The sequence below is a fragment of the Homo sapiens genome, chromosome 9, assembly GCF_000001405.40.
Source record: "Homo sapiens chromosome 9, GRCh38.p14 Primary Assembly".
Lineage (NCBI taxonomy): Eukaryota > Metazoa > Chordata > Mammalia > Primates > Hominidae > Homo > Homo sapiens.
In genome coordinates this window covers 15,555,270-15,577,434 of record NC_000009.12, presented here as the reverse complement: position 1 = coordinate 15,577,434, position 22,165 = coordinate 15,555,270, and the positions used below count along the sequence as shown (strand labels likewise).

Below are 22,165 nucleotides of genomic sequence, written 5' to 3'. Positions count from 1 at the left end.
TTTAGGATGAAGTGCCAGTTGAAAATAAGCCTTCGGAAAATGAAGTAATGAACGCACTTAACTATGATGCCAGTATTGATTTACTACAAGGCCTGAGGGATAGAAAGGGTAAATCTCACTATACTAGAGAATTTACAAACACAAAATGATAATCTCAGAGCTTTAGAATCTCAGTTCAAGACAGTCAGAAAAACGAGTTTTTATGGTGACTTTAAAATAACTGCTTATTTAGTACAGCCCCAGGGCAGATAAGGTTATGAACAAACCTGGAAATCTAATTATGGGAAATGCAAAATTACAAGTTCAATGAAGAGTTTCACCAGGTTTCTTCTGTTAAGATGCTATCAGCTGGATATTAAGTAGGAAGAACATAGGATGAGGACTTTCAGAATTAAACAAACCTAAAAACTATGAACTCTCAAATCCCCACTGAACATTCCTTACCAAAAAAAAGCAGCCTCTCCTTTCTGACTGAGGTAACCAGCCTTTCCTTGCTGAAAGAATTAGTAATGACCACACCTGAAGCAGCTGCCTTGCAGGAGGATTTGCAAGAGCCACCTACACCGCTCTGTTCACCACAGATTGACTCAGATCTCAGTATGCTACAGAAGGAAAAATGCAGTCTGCTCCAGGAGGAAATAGCTTATATAGCAGAAGAACTGAAAGCTCTTGCTAATCTGGTATTCACAGGAACTTGGAGAACGTGTACAAGATCGACGTGGATATCGTCTCTAAGTTAACTCTTAACAGTTTTGCTTGGATGGCTGACTGAAAATTGAATTCGACATTAGCCTACAATCATTTCATAAGGTCAAAATACTAGCACTTTCCTGGCATAATACAAACACTTAAGAACACGGGAGTGGTTTTGTGCAAACCAAGCCTCCCTTTTCCTTGACTACATCCTCTTCAAGGGCACAAAGTACATTACTTAAAATTAAAATGCTGGCCAGGTGCGGTGGCTCACTCCTGCAATCCCAGCACTTTGAGAGGCTGATGAGGGAGGGTTGCTTGAGGCTAGGAGTTTGAGACCAACCTGAGCAACACAGCAAGACCCCATGTCTACAAATAATAATAATAATAAATTAGCCAGGTGTGATGGCACACACCTACAGTCCTGGCTACTTGGGAAGCTACAGCATAAAATCACTTGAGCCCAGGAGTTCCAGGCTGTAGGGAGCAATGATCACATCACTGCATGCAAGCCTGGACAACAGAGCAAGACCCTGTCTCTAAAAAAAGATTTAAAACAACAAATATATATACATGTATATACACACACACACACACACACACACACAACTGAAATATGATATATATGTAGCTATAATTTTTTTTTTTTTGAGACAGAGTCTCGCTCTGTTGCCGAAGCTGGAGTACAGTGGCATGATCTCGGCTCACTGCAACCTCTGCCTCCCAGGTTCAAGTGAGTCTCCCACCTCAGCCACCCAAGTAGCTGGGATTATAGGTGCGCACCACCACGCCCAGCTAATTTTTGCATTTTTAGTAGAGACAGGGTTTCGCCATGTTGGCCAGGCTGGTCTCAAACTCCCGACCTCAAGTGATTTGCCCACCTCAGCCTCCTAAAGTGCTGGGATTACAGGCGTGAGCCATGGCACCCATCCTGTAACTATAATTTCTAAAATGTGATATGTATCTGTGATTTCTATTGATGATACTCAAAAGTGCTGCTAACACTACTATGACTTGTTAAAAGGAGGACTGGCTGGGTCAAGCCTTTCAGAACTGAAGGAAATGCTTAATATCAGTTAGAGGTTAATAAAAATAAAATTATAAGTTTTCCCCATCTATGTTCACAGATTCCCTGATTTCTCTGAGGACTCCAGCTTAAGAATCCCTGCTCTCAAGAGTACTGGCTGGGTCAGACAATATCTTCAAGCCATAAAGCCTACTGATTAGTCCTAAGTTTCCAGTATTTTTTGGCTAAAAGAAGTTATGTCAGCCGAGTACGGTGGCTCACACCTGTTGTCCCAGCACTTTGGGAGGCCAAGGTGGGTGGATCACTTGAGCCCAGAAGTTCAAGACCAGCCTGGACAACATGGCAAAACCACACCTCTATAAAAATACAAAAAATTAGCCAAGCATGGTGGCACGTGCGTGCCTGTAGTCCCAGCTCCTCAGGAGGCTGATGTAGGAGATCACTTGAGTCCAGGAGTTCGAGACCAGGCTGCAGTGAGCCAAGATCACACCATTGCACTCCAACCTGGGTGACAGAGCGAGACCCTGTTTCAAAAAAAAAAAAAAAAAAAAAAAAAAGTAGTTATGTCACTCTCCTTTACCCTCTCTCTTTCTAATTTATCTGGATTTTCTTGCTCTGTTATCACTATCTGGGCCAATGAGATATCTGAATAGCCTCACGGTCTTCTTGTCCTATTTTCCACAACAGTATTGTTACGCTCAAATGATTCTAAAAACCTTACAGTATTTTCCCATCCCAATCACCTACATCAATGCAATTCAGTCTCATCTGGAACGTATGAGTCTATAAGCAATTCTTCTCCCTGTACCCTCTGTCTACTAATAAATCCTTTCAACAGTAATCTATTATTTGAATACCTATCAAAGAAACCTGTAGCTCAGAAAAATAAATTAACTTGCCCAAGATCCTCCAACAATAAAACTCCTACAGAAGTCTTTAAAGATATTTTGTGCCAATCACCGTGCATTTGTGTTCGCATTAGGAATACCTGATAAGGCAAATATGGCCTTAGTTTTTAAATCACTGCATTCCTCTCTGCCTTGCTTCCTGATGCGTACAGTTGGAGATTATATGGCTAAAAAATTTAACTACATAATACAAGTATGATCATCTAAAGAAATAATTGAAGGCCAGGCACAGTGGCTCAATGGCTTACACCTGTAATCCCAGCACTTTGGGAGGTCGAGACAGGTGGATCACTTGAGGTCAGGAGTTCGCGACCAGCCTGGCCAACATGGTAAAACTCCGTCTCCACTAAAAATACAAAAATTTGGCCAGGCGCGGTGGCTCACACCTATAATCCCAGTACTTTGGGAGGCCAAGGCGGGTGGATCACAAAGTCAGGAGTTCGAGACCAGCCTGGCCAAGATGGTGAAATCCCGTCTCTACTAAAAATACAAAAATTAGCCAGGCACAGTGGCAGGCACCTGTAATCCCAGCTACGCAGGAGGCTGAAGCAGGAGGAACGCTTGAACCTGGGAGGCAGAGGTTGCAGTGAGCCAAGATAGCACCACTGTACTCCAGCCTGGACAACAGACTGAGTGAGACTCTGTCTCAAAAAAAAAAAGAAAAAGAGAAAGAAAAGAAATAATTGAAAAAATAATAATTAGTAATATAAATCTGGAGTTGAACCAATTATAATTTCCTGTTTTAAGAAAACTGTATTCCTTCCCTAAGATAATTTCTATCTCCTTAATGTGAACATATACTTCAAAACATTTTGATCAAATAAAAGAGAACAGTGTGTTCTGCTGAGAAATCTAATGACAACTATAAACATATTATGAAAGAATATATTTATTTTTATTTTATTTTTTGTAGATACAGGGTCTCACTCACAGGCCCAGGCTGGTCTCGAACTCCCGGGCACAAGCAATCCTCCTGCCTTGGCCTCCCAAAGTGCTGGGATTACAGGCATGAGCCACCACACCTGGCTGTGAGAGAATTTATTTAATAGAGTAATGATTATCATCACACTAATACTCTCAAGTAAAATGTGCATTTGGTTTTAAAAAAACAAGTTTTAGAGTTTATGAATAATTAGCACACATTTAACACATACCACTTTATATGATTATTACAATGTAAATAGAAGCAATTACTTCAATTATCACTTAAAAATTACCTCAATTGGGCGGGGCACAGTGGCTCACGCCTGTAATCCCAGCACTTTGGGAGGCCAAGGTGGGCAGATCACCTGAGGTGAGGAGTTCAAGACCAGCCTAGCCAACATGGTAAAACCCCATCTCTACTAAAAATACAAAAATTAGCCGGGCATGGTGGCACGTGCCTGTAGTCCCAGCTACTGGGGAGGCTGAGGCAAGTGATTCTCCAATCACTTGAACCTGGAGGCAGTGGTTGCAGTGAGCCGAGATCGCTCCACTGCACTCCAGCCTGGGTGACAGAGCGAGACTTCGTCTCAAAAAAAGAAAAATTATGATAATAATATTACCTCAAATGCTACTAAAAAAATACAAAGAGAATTATTATGTATTCATCTCTTGTTATTTCAATCAGCAATACCACTGCTCCTTAGATATCCTGAAAAAAATCATCTTTTCATACTCTCCTCTGTTGCCCAGGCTGGAGTGCAGTGGCACGATCTCAGCTCACTGCAACCTTCCAGCTCCAGGGCTCAAGCGATTCTCCTGCCTCAGCCTCCCAAGTAGCTGAGATTACAGGTGTGTGCCACTACGCCCAGCTGATTTTTGTATTTTTAGTAGAAATGGGGTTTCACCATGTTGGCCAGGCTGATCTCGAACTCCTGACTTCAAGTGATCCACCCACCTTGGCCTCTCAAAGTGCTTGGATTATAGGCATGAGCCACCACACCTGGCCCTTTTCATACATTTATTCAATACACAACTACTGACGGCCTATTATGTGCCAGTAAACATAAGCAATATGGAGACAAAGTGTGATCACTGTTTTCAGCTCTCAGGGGGTTTACAAACTAAAGAAGAGCAGGAAAGCATGATATAAATGTTTTAGTTCTAAAATATCTATAACAGCAACATGTTGTGGAAGAACAAAGTAGTAGCCAGTTTCACTTAGAGAGACATTAAAAGGTTTCCCAACATGAGAACTGCAGAACTTAGCAAAAAGGGAAGAAAAACATACTGTTTACACTTAACTGTCAATAAATTACAGCTATTACAGTACACAAGCACTTTCCAAATTTTATTTCACTTAATTATCACAACAACCCTTTGGGACCAGCAGTTCACAATGAGAAACCAATGGTGTACAGGATAAATGAGTAGCCCAAGATGACGCATCTTGTAAATGGAAAGGCCAGGAATAAATTGAGCTCTGTGTAATTTGATATTCTTCCCACTATACCAGGTGGCCTAAACTGAGTTTTAAGAATAAATAAGACTTATCAGAGAAAAAAGGAGAAAAAACACAGCAGAGAGAAGAGGCATAAAGATATGACTCATGAATTATCTTAGAAGGGAAGGAAAACTATCTTGGACTATATGCATATACATATGAAATATATATACACACACATACATACTAATAAAAGAAATAATGACTTATAAACTAAGACAATTTATGAACTGAACTATGATTAAAAATTCCATACTCAAATTTACTTAAAGAGATTGCTCCATAATGGAGACCTTAAAGGAACCTACATTATGATTTCAAAAATGTCTGATTTACAAATCCTTTAATCATCAAACATGTTCATAAATAATTTTAATCAATTGAACCCATTAATTAAAATAAATCTAAGATAACATACAAATAAACATAATTCATTAAAGTTCTACTTTAACACTTATGCAATTACACTACATTTTAAAATTATGTTTCCTTTATTACAATTTCCTTTTTAAGCCCAAGAATGGTATAGTTATAAAGGTTAAACATGGAGTTTTTCATATGAAATAAATCTAAAAAATCAAACTCAACTTTTAACATTATTTGAGAGGAAAATAAATCGTACCTCTGCATTGTGTTTGGTTGTTATTTCTAACTTTTCTTTTTTAGCCCAATGGAGTTTCTTCCTGAGATTATCAGTAATATCCAACTCTGTTTCATTTTTAAGTATTTGTTTTACATCCAATGAGGCAATCTTCAACCTTTAAAATGAGATTACAGTAAAATGTATATGCTTCTCATAAAGCACATTTCAGAGCATTTCTGATATTTTTGATAACTTATTTTTCAAAAAACAAAGAGAACATGACATGGTTCTTGACTTAGAGTTCACAATCTAGTAAAAGATGTCCACTGCAAAAGCTATGTAGAAATACAAAGTAGTATATATATATAGATAGATACCTAGCAACAAACCACTGTCTAATGGGAAATTACCACATTATTCAAGATTGCTACTTAAATTGTCTGATCATATCACAAGCTGGATAATTTTGGAAGAGACTGGGTTCTCCCACTTTTTTTCTTTGTAAATAATACATTTTGTTTACTGCAAATGTAATACATAATACAAAAAGAAAAATGTCAGACTAAAGCACCCTACTCTCTCCCAAAAATAAAAATTAAAAATTAAAATAACAGCAAACAGAATTTAGAGGTATAAACTCACAAGAGAGAGAACACAAAAGATGAGATAATAGCAACCAATTACTGGAAGCTGAAATGCATGTGGACAAGTGGTAACTGATAACCCCCAAAAGCTCAGTAATTGGCAACACCTTTGAAAATGGAGGTAAAAGTAGAGCAGAAAACAGGAGAATTATTTGAAAGTCTGCCAACAAAATAATTACATCCTCAGATCCCCATCCCCTATACCACACAACTGGGTACCTATCTCTTTCCCAGTCTGGCAGAAAAACACTAGGGGTTTATTCCCTGGAGAGGATAAAACAGACGGTCTCTGGATCAGAAGACATTAGATACAAATGACCTAAGTTTTTCATACTATATACAAGAAGCTTGAGTTAAAAGTTATATAAGGAAAGAGCGCTCTAGAGTTTTAACACTACTTGTCTTGCCAGAATGTTCTTGCCAGAACGATGGCAGTCAAGCAGAAATTGGAAGTGTCTTCCCTACAGAACCTAAGCAACCAGGTGAAAAATACCTAAAGATACTGATGCCAGTGGTTCTCTAGAAAAACAGCTTAACCATATAACCCTACAGAGCATGCCACAAACACAAAGTCTCACACACTGAGCTTCCAGTCATCTTTTTAGGTTAAGCCCCTACTTTTCAATATAAGCAGACAGCCAACAATCACCAAAAGTTTAATAAGCATCTAATATGATAAGCAGAGACCAAAAATATGGTGCATAGAAAAGAAGCATGCCTTGAAAGACTATGCAGAAAGATGACAACTTAGAAGAGGGGAAAAAAAAAACTAACATTGTCTACTAAAAAAAATAGGAGTATATCATCCATATGTCACATCCATGACTGCAATAGGAAATGAAATATTCAGAGAAAAAAAAAACAGCTCTTAAAAAATCAAAAACAGCCAGGTGCAGTGGCTCACGCCTGGCCTCCAAGCACTTTGGGAGGCTGTGGCGGGCAGATCACTTGAGGCCAGGAGTTCAAGACCAGCCTGGCCAACATAGTGAAATCCTGCCTCTACTAAAAATATAAAAAATTAGCTGGATGTGGTGGCTCATGCTTGTAATCCCAGCTACTTGGGAGGCAAAGGCAGGAGAATCCTTGAACCCAGGAAGCAGAGGTTGCAGTGAGCAGAGATCACACCTTTGAACTCCACCCTGGGCAACAAGAGCAAAACTCCATCTCAAAAAAAAGAAAAGAAAAAGAAAAGTAATCAAAAACACAAACTAAGAAAACGAAAAACTAAACAAATAAAAATAAAAGAAAAATCTCCCAGAAAATAAAGCAAAAAAAGAGATGGAGATGAAAAATAGAAATTTTTTTTTTGTTTGTTTGTTTTTTGTTTTTTGTTTTTTTTTGAGACGGAGTCTCGCTCTGTCGCCCAGGCTGGAGTGCAGTGGCACGATCTCGGCTCACTGCAAGCTCCGCCTCCCGGGTTCACGCCATTCTCCTGCCTCAGCCTCCCGAGCAGCTGGGACTACAGGCGCCCGCCACCACGCCCGGCTAATTTTTTGCATTTTTAGTAGAGACGGGGTTTCACCGTGTTAGCCAGGATGGTCTCGATCTCCTGACCTCGTGATCCGCCCGCCTCGGCCTCCCAAAGTGCTGGGATTACAGGCGCGAGCCACCGCGCCCGGCCGAAAAATAGAAAATTTTTTAAATTAGAAGACTGTCCAAGAAGTTCAAAATCTAAAAAAAGGTGCAGAATGAAAAACAATAAATTTATAACATTAAATAGTCTTGTTATTTTGTAAGCATTGTTCTAAGCATTTTACATATATAAACTTATTTATTCTTCACAATAATCTCATGAGATTGGTACTTTTATGACCCCCTATTACCCAAGTTCACAGGGCTAGTGAGGGAGAGGCAGAGCTGAAATTCAAACCCTGAAACCCTGGCTCCATGATATATCCTCTTAACCACTGCACTACAATGTCTCTCTGAATGGGAGGAAACTATTACAGAAACAAATCCATGGAAATAGGCGGATTCCGAAGGATATAAGTTTCAAACCGAAAAGGCCTATTAAAAGAGCCCAGGTTAAATGCATGGAAATTTCAGAAAACAAGGAACAAAAAAGTAGTTCCTCCAAAGTCTAGAGAGAAATAAATAGGTTTTATACAAAAGACTAACAAATATGTTTGACTATAAAAATCCCTGAAAGACAACCTAGGCAATACCATCCTGGACACAGGAATGGGCAAAGATGTCATGACGAAGATGCCTAAAGCAATCACAACAAAAGCAAAAATTGACCAATGGGATCTAATTAAACTTAAGAGCTTCTTCGTGGCAAAAGAAACTATCAACAGTTTAAACAGCCTAGAGAATGGGAAAAAAAATTTGCAAATTATACATCTGACAAAGGTCTAATATCCAGCATCTATAAGCAACTTAAACAAATTTACAAGAAAAAAAAACATTAAAAAGTGGGCAAAGGACATAAAAAGACAATTTTCAAGAGAAGACATACATGCAGCCAACAAGCATATGAAACAAAGCTCAGTATCAGTGATCATTAGAGAAACGCAAATCAAAACCACAATGAGATACCATCTCACACCAGTCAGAATGGCCATTATCAAAAAGTCAAAAAATAAGGCTGGGTGCGGTGGCTCACGCCTGTAATCCCAGCACTTTGGGAGGCCAAGGCGGGTGGATCACGAGGTCAGGAGATCGAGACCATCCTGGCTAACACGGTGAAACCCCATCTCTACTAAAAATACAAAAAATTCTCCAGGCGTGGTGGCGGGCACCTGTAGTCCCAGCTACTCCGGAGGCTGAGGCAGGAGAATGGCCTAAGCCCGGGAGGCGGAGCTTGCAGCGAGCCAAGATCGCGCCACTGCACTCCAGCCTGGGCAACAGAGCAAGACTCCGCCTCAAAAAAAAAAAAAAAAAAAAAGATGTATTGGAGATGTAGATGGTGCAATCATGCAATGTAAAAGAAATAAAAGGCATGCATACTGGAAAAGAAGAAGTAAAACTGTCTTTAATTACAAAGGACATGATTCTGAAAGAAAATTCTAGAAATCCACTAAGAAAAAACAGACTAGAACTAAAATCAATTTCAGCAAGGTCACAGAATACAAGATCAATAAACAAAAATCAATTATACTTCTATATCCTAGTAATGAACAATCCAAAAACAAAATTAAGAAAACAATTCCATTTATAACAGCATCAAAAAGAATAAAATAAATTTAACAAAAGAAATGCAAGGCCAGGGATGGTGGCTCATGCCTGATGCCAGCACTTTGGGAAGCCAAGGCAGGAGGATCACTTGAGGCCAGGAGTTCAAGACCAGCCTGAGAAACATAGCAAGATCTTGTCTCTACAAAAATAAAAAAAATTGGCCAGCCATGGTGGTACATGCCTGTAGTCCTAGCTACTAAGGAGGCTGAGGCAGGAGGGTCACTTGAGCTCAGGAGTTGAGGCCACAGTGAGCTAAGATCATGCCACTGTACTCTAGCCTGGGCAACAGAGCAAGACCTTGTCTCAAAAAAAAAAAATAGTGAAAGATTTTTACACTGAAAAATACAAAATGTTGTTCAAAGGAGTTGAAAAGCTAAACAAGTGGAAAGACATTCCACCATACTCACATTCATGTAAGGAAAACTCAATATTATTAAAATGGCAATTCTCCCCAAATTATTCTACATATTCAATATAATCCCTATTAAAACCCCAACAGACATTTTTGCAGAAACTGAAAAGCTGATCCTAAAATTCATATGGAAAGACAAAGAATTCAAAATAGCCAAAACAATCTTGAAGAACAAATGGGAAAACTTTTGATTCCTAATTTCAAAACTTACTATAAAGCTACAGTAATCAAGACAATGTGATATTGGATTAAGAACAGACATGTACGCCTGTAATCCCAGCACTGTGGGAGGCTGAGGCCGGTGGATCACAAGGTCAGGAGTTCAAGACCAGCCTGCCCAAGATTGTGAAACCCCGTCTCTACTAAAAATACAAAAATTAGCTGGGCACAGTAGCAGGTGCCTGTAATCCCAGCTACTCGGGAGGTTGAGGCAGGAGAATCACCTGAACCCGGGGGACAGAGGTTGCAGTGAGATCACGCCACTGCACTCCAGCCTTGACAACACAGTGAGACTCTGCCTCAAAAAAAAAAAAAAAAAGGACATGTAGATCAATATATCAGAGTTAAGACTCTAGAAATAAACCTATACTTAAATAGTTAAGTAATTTTCAACAGAAGTATCAAGGCAATTCAACGGGGAAATGTTACTCTTATCAACAACGCTGCTGGAACAACTGGCTACGCACATGCAAAGAGACAAATTTAGACCCTTACCTCGTACAAAAAGTAACTTAAAATAGAGCACTAAATATAAGAGCTAAAATTATAAAACTTCTAGAAGAAAACATAGAAGAAAAATCTTCATGACCTTAGGTTAGTCAGAGATTTCTTATATACAAAACCAAAAGCACAACTCCTATAGGAAAAGAACTGATAAACTGGACTTCATCAAAGTTAAAAACTTGTGCATTTCCAAAGACACTATTAAGAAAACAAAAAGTCAAGCCACTAAACAGGAGAAAAATGTTTGCATATCATATATCTTATTTTTTGTTGTTGTTGTTGTTGAGACAAAGTCTCGCTCTGTCACCCTGGCTCAAGTACAGTGGCATGATCTAGGCTCACTGCAATCTCCGCCTCCCAGCTTCAAACAATTCTCATGCCTCAGCCTCTGGAGTAGCTGGGACCACACAGGCACACCACCACGCCTGGCTAATTTTTGTATTTTTTTGTAGAGATGGGGTTTCGCCATATTGGCCAGGCTGGTCTCGAACTCCTGGGCTCAAGCAATCCACCCACCTCAGCCTCCCAAAGTGCTGGGATTACAGGCATGAGTTACTGCACCAGGCCAGCAAATCATGTATCTGATAAAGGACTTGCATTCCAAATATACAAACACTCCTAAAGCTCAATAACATAAAAAAAAAAAACACAATTTAAAAATAAACAGATCTGAAGAGACATTTCACCAATGAAGATACATGAATTACCAAAAAGCACATGCAAAGATGTTCAACATCGTTAATCATTAGGAAAATTCAAATTATAACCACAATAACATATAACTTCACACTCACCAAAATGGCTAAATTGAAATAGATAAAAACCAGTATTGGTCAGGTTATAGAGAAATTAAAACCCTCAATTATTGCTAGTGATAATATAAAATGACCCAGCCACTTCAGAACACAATTTGGCAGTTTCTTGAAAATTTTAACATAAATTTACTATATGATACAGCATTGCTGCTCCTAAGAATCTACCTAAGGGAAACAAAAACATATGTCAACACAAAGACATATGCAAACATGCACAGCAGCATTATTCATAGTACCCAAAAAGTGGAAACAACTCAAATGTCTGTCAACTGGCAGATGGGCATAATGTGGCATATCCATACAATGGAATACAATCAGCAATAAAAAGAAACGAAGGGCTGCTACGTGTTACAACTTTACAAAACTCAGGAATATGCCCTGTAAAAGAAGCCACAAAAGACCATCTATTATGTGATTCCATTCACATGAATTGTTCAAAAAAGGCAAATCTATAGAAACAGAAAGTAGATTAGTAGCAGATTTTAAATAACTGTATCCAGATTCTCTAATTATAAAAAGTAATTCAGCCATTAAAAATGATGACAAGCCGGAGCAATGGTGCGTGCCTACAGTTCCAGCTACTTGGGAGGCTGATGCAGGAGGATTGCCTGAGGCCAGGAGTTCTCAGACAGCCTGGGCAACATAACAAGACCCCACTTCAGAAAAATTTAAAAACTTTGATACATTGATGTGGTAAGAAGTTTCCCCAAAATTGAAAAAGCAGGATACTAAATAAGGTGAAATATTCTAATTTGTAAATACATATTTAAAATTAGCCAGGCGTGGCAGCAGGCGCCTATAATCCCAGCTACTTAGGAGGCTGAGGCAGGGGAATCACTTGAACTCGGGAGGCGGAGGTTGCAGGGAACCAAGATCATGCCACTGCACTCCAATCTGGGCGACAGAGCAAGATTCTGTCTCAAAAAAAAAAAAAAAAAAAAGTGGGGGGTGGGTAGCTTCAAAAGCTAAGTGGAAAACAAATTTACGGGTAAATTACATGTTAGTCTTGGTACTTGTCCCACCCACACATCCTTGCTGAAAAGGCAGTCTAGATCAGTCCTTCTCAAACTAAATATGAGGAAGGACTATCTTCACCCCATCCATGATGATTTTGTAAAATACATTTAATGCATTATTTTTAAAGAAATTTTAAAAACAGACAGAATACAACCCCAAATGTTTTACTCTTAGATTCAGCAGACAGAATATTACTCTGTTACATGACTATAAAAGTTTCTAAACATTTACTTTTAATTTCAGTACTTATTTCTTTGTAAAGCACACTTAGGAGAGAGTGGCACTGCCCTATGTGGTCCAGTTTTGTATTATAGACTCCACCCACCAAAGGTGAATGAACTAAAGGTAGGCGCCACGCCCAAAGGCAGAAATCAATGGTACAAAAAAGATGAGCAACAGCAATTAGGCGTTACGTCTTGAAGGGTAAACTGAGAGATACCAAGTAAGGAAGCGAAACAGCAACAGGAGCTAAGACTAAATGAATGCTTAAGCAGTAGCCATGAATTAGAGCTGGGCCAATGAAGAAAGAGGAATTAAAGCCACAGAGGTTAAAGAAAACAAAACAGAAATATAAATAAAAAATACAAGGGAAACATTTAAAGTAGTGGAAAAGAACAAGCAAGTCTCTAGTAACAGGACAAAGTTCAGACACACAGACTTTTGTGGTCCAAATTAACAGAGGAGCACAAAATCCCCATAAAGTCTCTAGAATCAGTTCCAATTCTTATGAGGCTTCATTCATGCTCCTTCAGTCCCACAGAATTTCTACTCCCCTTACCATCCCATGAGAATTCTTACAGTTAGCTCTACAACCACTGACTTCTCCCTGTTCCTTGCAACTAAAAACGTTCATCAACTAAAAGAAGAGACTAGAGGCTTACCTTTGGGTATCACCAGTATTACTTGAAGTATTCAAATTCATGATGTTTTCCAACTCTTTCAAAATACCCTGCTATTTCTTAATGACATATTTCTTTCTTGATGATTAAAATTGCCCAAGATGTCTGTGGCTTCACGTTAGATGATTTGAGGTCTGTTAAAATAGTAAATGATACAATAGCAGTTTGAGTCCTGATACTATTGGAGATTTTTCTTGTTTTTTGGTTTATTTTGGAAAGATGTAATAATTGATAAGTGAAATTGTAGGTGTATAGAGATATCTAGACCTCAGAAGATCACCAAAAGAAAAGGAACTCAAATAAGCAGACTGAGATGGAGACTGTATCTCAGTGCTGAGAAATGACTAACAGCTCCTACATATAGATCCAAAGGATCTTTACAACAGTGATTCACGTGGCTGACTGAACAGTCTGACCTAGGACAGAGGTTGAAATTTTGGCCAAGATGATGTGGGAATGGGGAGATCTCATCTATCCAGGGACCTGAAAGACTAGGTTGGAAATAGTGGTAGACAAATGAATACCACCGTCATTCATCTACTGAACACCTACTACAGCGTCAAGCACTGTAATTGGTATTTTATATATAGCATTGTGATCCTTACAACACTGCAATGTAAGGATTATCCCATTTTTCTACCAAGAAAACCAAGACTGAGATTAAAAGTAACTTGAGCCGGGTGCGGTGGCTCACGACTGTAATCCCAGCACTTTGGGAGGCAGAGGCAGGCAGATCACCTGAGGTCGGGAGTTCTAAACCAGCCTGACCAACATGGAGAAACCCCACCTCTACTAAAAATATAAAATTAGCCAGGCGGGGTGGCACATGCCTGTAATCCCAGCTACTCAGGAGGCTGAGGTGGAAGAATTGCTTGAACCTGGGAGGCGGAGGTTGCAGTGAGCCAAGATTGCACCATTGCACTCAAGCCTGGCCAACAAGAGAGAAACTCCGTGTCAAAAAAAAAAAAAAAAGAAGTAACTTGAAAAAGTCACATAGTTACAGAACCAAGATTCCAATTCATAACTCTCTGACACTGAAGTTCAAGTTCTTTCTAACAGGCCACTGATGACACATAAACCTGAACTATAAGTTATCTTACGTGAGGGTTATTATCCTCACTTTATAAGAAAACTCATCTGATTCAGAGACGCTCAACTGTCTTGCCCAAAGCCATTCAGCTATTAAGTGGGGGGCACCAAGGAGTCTATCAAGCTCTTCAGATATTGTCCCAAAATCTTGTCACATTATCACCACGCTCCTGAAGGTCAGACCCCAGGGAAACTTCCTTCAGAATGAAAGTAAGAGTTAGAACCCAGAAGGAATGGACCCTTCTGTATTTAAGAGTAATGTCCAAGGCACAAAAACACATACATGAAATGTTCCTGTTTTGTTGAAAAGCTTAAATACACATATGCAGAGGTAGCACAACAGGCATAAACAGACCTCTATTTACCTCTTAGGAAAATAATTTCAGATAGTTAGGGCCTTAATCATGTTTTCGTATATTGGGCAGAGAAGTGTGGCAAGTAGAGGTTACGAAACTTTTAATAAAGTTGTTTCAATAAAGTTAAAGGGAATCATCATACTTCAGTGCATTATTTTGGCACCTAACATCTTCAAATCTGAATGGTCCTCTAGAGAGATAGCATCTTCCATAGCTCAGAAGCAAGTTTCATCTACTTCTAGCTCACTGATATATAACCAGGAGAATACAGCAAAGATGAAGGGATGCCACTCTTATGATTACATTATATAAGACTTTTATCTTAGCAGACTGAATGACAATCTCCTGCTGACCTTAAAGAAGCAAAGTGTCAGGCCAGGCGCGGTGGGTCACACCTGTAATCCCAGCACTTAGGGAGGCCGAGGTGGGTGGATCACGAGGTCAGGAGGTAGAGACCAGTCTGGCTAAGATGGTGAAACCCCGACTCTACTAAAAATAAAGAAAATTAGCTGGGCGTGATGGTGGGCGCCTATAATCCCAGCTACTCAGGAGGTTGAGATAGGAGAATCGCTTGAACCCAGGAGGTGGAGACTGCAGTGAGCCAAGATTGCGCCACTGCACTCCAGCCTGGGCTACAGAGTAAGACTCCATCTTAAAAAAAAAAGAAGCAAAATGTCATGCTGTGAACTGCCCATGGAAGAAGCCACATGGCAAAGAACTGCAGGCAGCATCTTGGACCTAAGGTGAAAAAATCTTGAGTAACAGGCAGGTAAGAAGGAAAATGGGTTTCCACACCAGCTCTGCCTGTGTGTCTTTTATCAAGTCTTTCTTTTTTTTTTAATTTTCTTCATCTTCCTCGCTGATATCAGCCCCTGATGACACAGAGAACAAGGATTTACTTCTCTGTGTGTTTTAGGAAGACTAAATCAATGAAGGACCAAAGTTGATACGGTCAGTGGCTGAATATGAACTATGATGGGATTCCCATGCAATCGAGCATGGCAGAGAAGGTGCAGTAAAATCTCCTCCCTCTTCTTCCACCAGGTAAAAAGGCAAGGAATGATGAGGACAGTCAAGTTCAGAGTTACAGGATAGTAATGAAAATGTCAATGGAATACAAAGTTAAGTTAAAGAACTACAGTGCCCTTAAAGAGTATTTATTTCTAGCTTTACTTGGAACTTCCCTGTGAAACTCCACAAAGTTAAAATACACAATTTGGTCAAACTATGTCAGTGATTAAAAATTCCTCATGACATGCAATCAAAATCAGCCTTTCTCTTCTTCAATATTTGTTGAACTCTAAATATTACTTTCCATTTGAAAACATTCAATTGATCATTACTTGTGAACAAACTATATGATACAAAGTCATTCCCTGCTGTCATCATTCCAACTGTCACAAAACTCCCTTCTCCAGGCATCGTATTAAAAACTTTCTACATATTGTCTCATTTCACTCTACACCAACCCCAAGGGGAAGATAATACTAATATCCATACTTTATACATGAGGAAACCAGGGCTTAAAGATAAGCAGTCACGGAGGAGGTTCCAAGATGGCCAAATAGGAACAGCTCCAGTCTGTAGCTCCCAGCGTGAGCGACACAAAAGACGAATGATTTCTGCATTTCCAACTGAGCTTCCGCTAGTGATATCCAGGCAAACAGGGTCTGAAGTGCACCTCCAGCAAACTCCAACAGACCTGCAGCTGAGGGTCCTGACTGTTAGAAGGAAAACGAATAAACATCCACATGAAAACCTCATCTGTATGTCACCATCAACAAAGACCAAAGGTAGATAAAACCACAAAGATGGGAGAAACCAGAGCAGAAAAGCTGAAAATTCTAAAAATCAGAGCGCCTCTCCCCCTCCAAAAGAACGCAGCTCCTCACCAGCAACGGAACAAAGCTGGACTGGGAATGACTTTGATGAGTTAAGAGAAGAAGGCTTCAGACGATGGGTAATAATAAACTTCTCCGAGCTAAAGGAGGATGTTCAAACCCATCGCAAAGAAGCTAAAAACCTTGAAAAAAGATTAGATGAATGGCTAACTAGAATAAACAGTGTAGAGAAATCCCTGAATGACCTGATGGAGCTGAAAACGATGGCAAGAGAACTATGTGACGAATGCACAAGCTTCAGTAGCCGATTTGATCAAGTGGAAGAAGGAGTATCATTGATTGAAGAACAAATGAATGAAATGAAAAGAGAAGAGAAATTTAGAGAAAAAAGAGTAAAAAGAAATGAACAAAGCCTCCAAGAAATACAGGACTATGTGAAAAGACCAAAACTACGTCTGATTGGTGTACCTGAAAGTGACGGGGAGAATGGAACCCAGTGGAAAACACCCTTCAGGATATCATCCAGGAGAGCTTCCCCAACCTAGTGAGGCAGGCCAACATTCAAATTCAGGAAATACAGAGAACGCCACAAAGATACTCCACAAGAAGAGCAACTCCAAGACACATAATTGTCAGATTCACCAAAGTTGAAATGAAGGAAAAAATATTAAGGGCAGCCAGAAACGTCAGGTTACCCACAAAGGGAAGCCCATCAGACTAACAGCGGATCTCTCAGCAGAAACTCTACAAGCCAGAAGAGAGTGAGGGCCAATATTCAACATTCTTAAAGAAAAGAATTTTCAACCCAGAATTTCATATCCAGCCAAACTAAGCTTCATAAGTGAAGGAGAAATAAAATCCTTTTCAGACAAACAAATATTGAGAGATTCTGTCACCACCAGGCCTGCCTTACAAGAGCTCCTGAAGGAAGCACTAAACATGGAAAGGAACAACCGGTACCAGCCACTGCAAAAACATGCCAAATTGTAAAGACCATCGAGCCTAGGAAAAAAACTGCATCAACTAATGAGCAAAATAACCAGCTAACATCATAATGACAGGATCAAATTCACACATACCAATATTAACTTTAAATGTAAATGGGCTAAATGCTCCAATTAAAAGACACAGACTGGCAAATTGGATACAGTCAAGACCCATCAGTGTGCTGTACTGAGGAGACCTATCTCACGTGCAGAGACACACATAGGCTTAAAATAAAGGGACGGAGTAAGATCTGCCAAGCAAATGGAAAACAAAAAAAAGCCAGGGTTGCAATCCTAATCTCTGATAAGACAGACTTTAAACTAACAAAGATCAAAAGAGACAAAGAAGGCCATTACATAATGGTAAAGGGATCAGTTCAACAAGAAGAGCTAACTATCCTAAATATATATGCACCCAATACGGGAGCAGCCAGATTCATAAAGCAAGTCTTAGAGACCTACAAAGAGACTTAGACTCCCATACAATAATAATGGGAGACTTTAAAACCCCACTGTAAACATTAGACAGATCAATGAGACAGAAAGTTAACAAGGATATCCAGGAATTGAACTCAGCTCTGCACCAAGCAGACCTAACAGACATCTACAGAATTCTCCACCCCAAATCAACAGAATATACATTCTTCTCGGCACCACATCACACTTATTCCAAAATTGACCACATAGTTGGAAGTAAAGCACTCCTCAGCAAATGTAAAAGAACAGAAATTATAACAAACTGTCTCTCAGACCACACTGCAATCAAACTACAACTCAGGATTAAGAAACTCACTCACAACCGCTCAACTACGTGGAAACTGAACAACCTGCTCCTGAATGACTGCTGGGTACATAACGAAATGAAGGCAGAAATAAAGATGTTCTTTGAAACCAATGAGAACAAAGACACAACATACCAGAATCTCTGGGACACATTCAAAGCAGTGTGTAGAGGGAAATTTATAGCACTAAATGCCCACAAGAGAAAGCAGGAAAGATCTAAAATTGATACCCTAACATCACAATTAAAAGAACTAGAGAAGCAACAGCAAACACATTCAAAAGCTAGCAGAAGGCAAGAAATAACTAAGATCAGAGCAGAACTGAAGGAGATAGAGACACAAAAAAACCCTTCAAAATATCAGTGAATCCAGGAGCTGGTTTTTGGAAAAGATCAACAAAATTGCTAGACCACTAGCAAGACTAATAAAGAAGAAAAGAGAGAAGAATCAAAGATGTAATAAAAAAAGATAAAGGGGATATCACCACTGATCCCACAGAAATACAAACTACCATCAGAGAATACTATGAACACCACTACGCAAATAAACTAGAAAATCTAGAGGAAATGGATAAATTCCTGGACACATACACCCACCCAAGACTAAACCAGGAAGAAGTTGAATCCCTGAAAAGACCAATAACAGGTTCTGAAATTGAGGCAATAATAGCCTACCAACCAAAAAATATCCAGGACCAGACGGATTCACTGCCAAATTCTACCAGAGGTACAAAGAGGAGCTGGTACCATTCCTTCTGAAACTATTCCAAACAATAGAAAAAGAGGGAATCCTCCCTAATTCATTTTATGAGGCCAGCATCATCCTGATACCAAAGCCTGGCAGAGACACAACAAAAAAAGAGAATTTTAGCCAATATCCCTGATGAACATTGATGCAAAAATCCTCAATAAAATACTGGCAAACCAAATCCAGCAGCACATCAAAAAGCTTATCCACCACGATCAAGTTGGCTTCATCCCTGGGATGGAAGGCTGGTTCAACATACGCAAATCAATAAACGTAATCCATCACATAAACAGAACCAATGACAAAAACCACATGATTATCTCAATAGATGCAGAAAAGGCCTTTGACAAAATTCAACAACACTTCATGCTAAAAACTCTCAATAAATTAGGTATTGATGGGACGTATCTCAAAATAATAAGAGCTCTTTATGACAAACCCACAGCCAATATCATACTGAATGGGCAAAAACTGGAAACATTCCCTTTGAAAACTGGCACAAGACAGGGATGCCCCCTCTCACCACTCCTATTCAACATAGTGTTGGAACTTCTGGCCAGGGCAATCAGGCAGGAGAAAGAAATAAAGGGTATTCAATGAGGAAAAGAGGAAGTCAAATTGTCCTTGTTTGCAGGTGACATGATTGTATATTTAGAAAACCCCATCGTCTCAGCACAAAATCTCCTTAAGCTGATAAGCAACTTCAGCAAAGTCTCAGGATACAAAATCAATGTGCAAAAATCACAAGCATTCTTATACACCAATAACAGACAGAAAGCCAAATCATGAGTGAATTCCCATTCCCAATTGCTACAAAGAGAGTAAAATACCTAGGAATCCAACTTACAAAGGAAGTGAAGGACCTCTTCAAGGAGAACTACAAACCACTGCTCAACAAAATAAAAGAGGACACAAACAAATGGAAGAACATTCCATGCTCATGGATAGGAAGAATTAATATTGTGAAAATGGCCATACTCCCCAAGGTAATTTATAGATTCAGTGCCATCCCCATCAAGCTACCAATGACTTTCTTCACAGAATTGGAAAAAACTACTTTAAAATTCATATGGAACCAAAAAAGAGCCCACATTGCCAAGACAATCCTAAGCAAAAAGAACAAAGCTGGAGGCATCACACTACCTGACTTCAAACTATACTACAAGGCTACAGTCACCAAAACAGCATGGTACTGGTAACAAAACAGATATATAGACCAATGGAACAGAATAGAGCCCTCAGAAATAATACCACACATCTACAACCATCTGATCTTTGACAAACCTGACAAAAACAAGCAATGGGGAAAGGATTCCCTATTTAATAAATGGTGTTGGGAAAACTGGCTAGCCATATGCAGAAAGCTGAAACTGGAACCCTTCCTTATACCTTACACAAAAATTAAGTCAAGATGGATTAACGACTTAAATGTTAGACCTAAAACCATAAAAACCCTAGAAGAAAATCTAGGCAATACCATTCAGGACATAGGCATGGGCAAGGACTTCATGACTAAAACACCAAAAGCAATGGCAACAAAAGCCAAAATTGACAAATGAGATCTAATTAAACTAAAGAGCTTCTGCACAGCAAAAGAAACTACCATCAGAGTGAACAGGCAACCTACAGAATGGGAGAAAATTTTTACAATCTACCCATCTGACAAAGGGCTAATATCCAGAATCTACAAAGAACTTAAACAAATTTACAAGAAAAAATCAAACAACCCCATCAAAAAGTGGGCAAAGGATATGAACAGACATTTCTCAAAAGAATATATTTATGCAGCCAACAGACACATGAAAAAATACTCATCATCACTGGCCATCAGAGAAATGCAAATCAAAACCACAATGAGATACCATCTCACACCAGTTAGAATGGCGATCATTAAAAAGTCAGGAAACAACAGGTGCTAGAGAGGATGTGGAGAAATAGGAACACTTTTACACCGTTGGTGGGACTGTAAACTAGTTCAACCATTGTGGAAGACAGTATGGCGACTCCTCAAGGATCTAGAACTAGAAATACCATTTGACCCAGCCATCCCATCACTGGCAGCCAGAGAGAAAGGTCAGGTTACCCACAAAGGGAAGCCCATCAGACTAACAGCGGACCTCTCGGCAGAAACTGTAAATCATGCTGCTATAAAGACACATGCACACATATGTTTATTGCGGCACCATTCACCATAGCAAACACTTGGAACCAACCCAAATGTCCATCAATGATAGACTGGATTAAGAAAATGTGGCACATATACACCATGGAATACTATGTAGCCATAAAAAAGGATGAGTTCATGTCCTTTGTAGGGAGATGGATAAAGCTAGAAACCATCATTCTGAGCAAAATATCGCAAGGACAGAAAACCAAACACCGCATGTTCTCACTCTTAGGTAGGAATTGAACAACGAGAATACTTGGACACAGGGTGGGGAACATCACACACCGGGGCCTGGCAGAGAGTGGGGGAAGGTGGGAGGTATAGCATTAGGAGATATACTTAATGTAAATGACGAGTTAACAGGTGCAGCACACCAACATGGCACATGTATGCATATGTAACAAACCTGCACATTGTGCACATGTACTCTATAACTTAAAGTATAATAATAAAAGAAATAAAAATAGATACTCAGTCACTTGACTAAAGTCACATCTCTCACATCTCTAGTGACAGGGTCAGGATTTACACCCAAGTTAGCTGACTCCAGAGCTCTGCTGTGTGCCTTGCTATTGGCCCTCAAGACACAGTTCATCCCAGTCAGGGAAGCATGTAAGACCTCACTTATCAGGGAAGCATTTCTGCTCTTTGCTGGAGATTTCTTAAAAATATCATTTTTCCCCGTATCGAAACTGACAAGCCATGGCCTTCTCAACAAAAGATTACTCAGACCTTCAGTCGATTCTCAATCCAGATAGCACCTTCACAGTTCTGGACCAAAACCAGGCCATCCTGTAGCAGTAATAGATAAAGAAAGGCAAGGTTCAAATTAGCTTTTTATGTTAATGTATTAATAGATTAATCTTTTTTTGAT

At 39.5% G+C, this 22,165-nt stretch overlaps 1 protein-coding gene across 33 annotated transcripts in view; it reads right to left on the bottom strand.

The window, feature by feature from the left end:
* The window catches only part of CCDC171 (coiled-coil domain containing 171), a 556,042-nt gene that overhangs the window by 531,492 nt on the left and 2,385 nt on the right, over window positions 1-22,165 (bottom strand). For 28 of the 33 annotated variants that reach the window (XR_007061261.1, XR_001746227.3, XR_001746228.3 and 25 more), the window contains 2 exons: window positions 13,306-13,457; window positions 5,676-5,811 (listed from right to left, as the gene is read on the bottom strand). Coding sequence is in view for 26 of the 33 variants with exons in the window: in XM_005251397.3 (XP_005251454.1) it covers window positions 5,676-5,811; window positions 13,306-13,346 (177 nt within the window). In the remaining 7 variants the exon portion in view is untranslated. Of the gene's footprint in view, window positions 1-3,559; window positions 3,581-5,675; window positions 5,812-13,305; window positions 13,458-22,023; window positions 22,084-22,165 lie in introns of those variants that run through there. The other 5 variants (XM_047422930.1, XM_047422935.1, XM_005251399.5 and 2 more) reach the window with 2 other exon arrangements.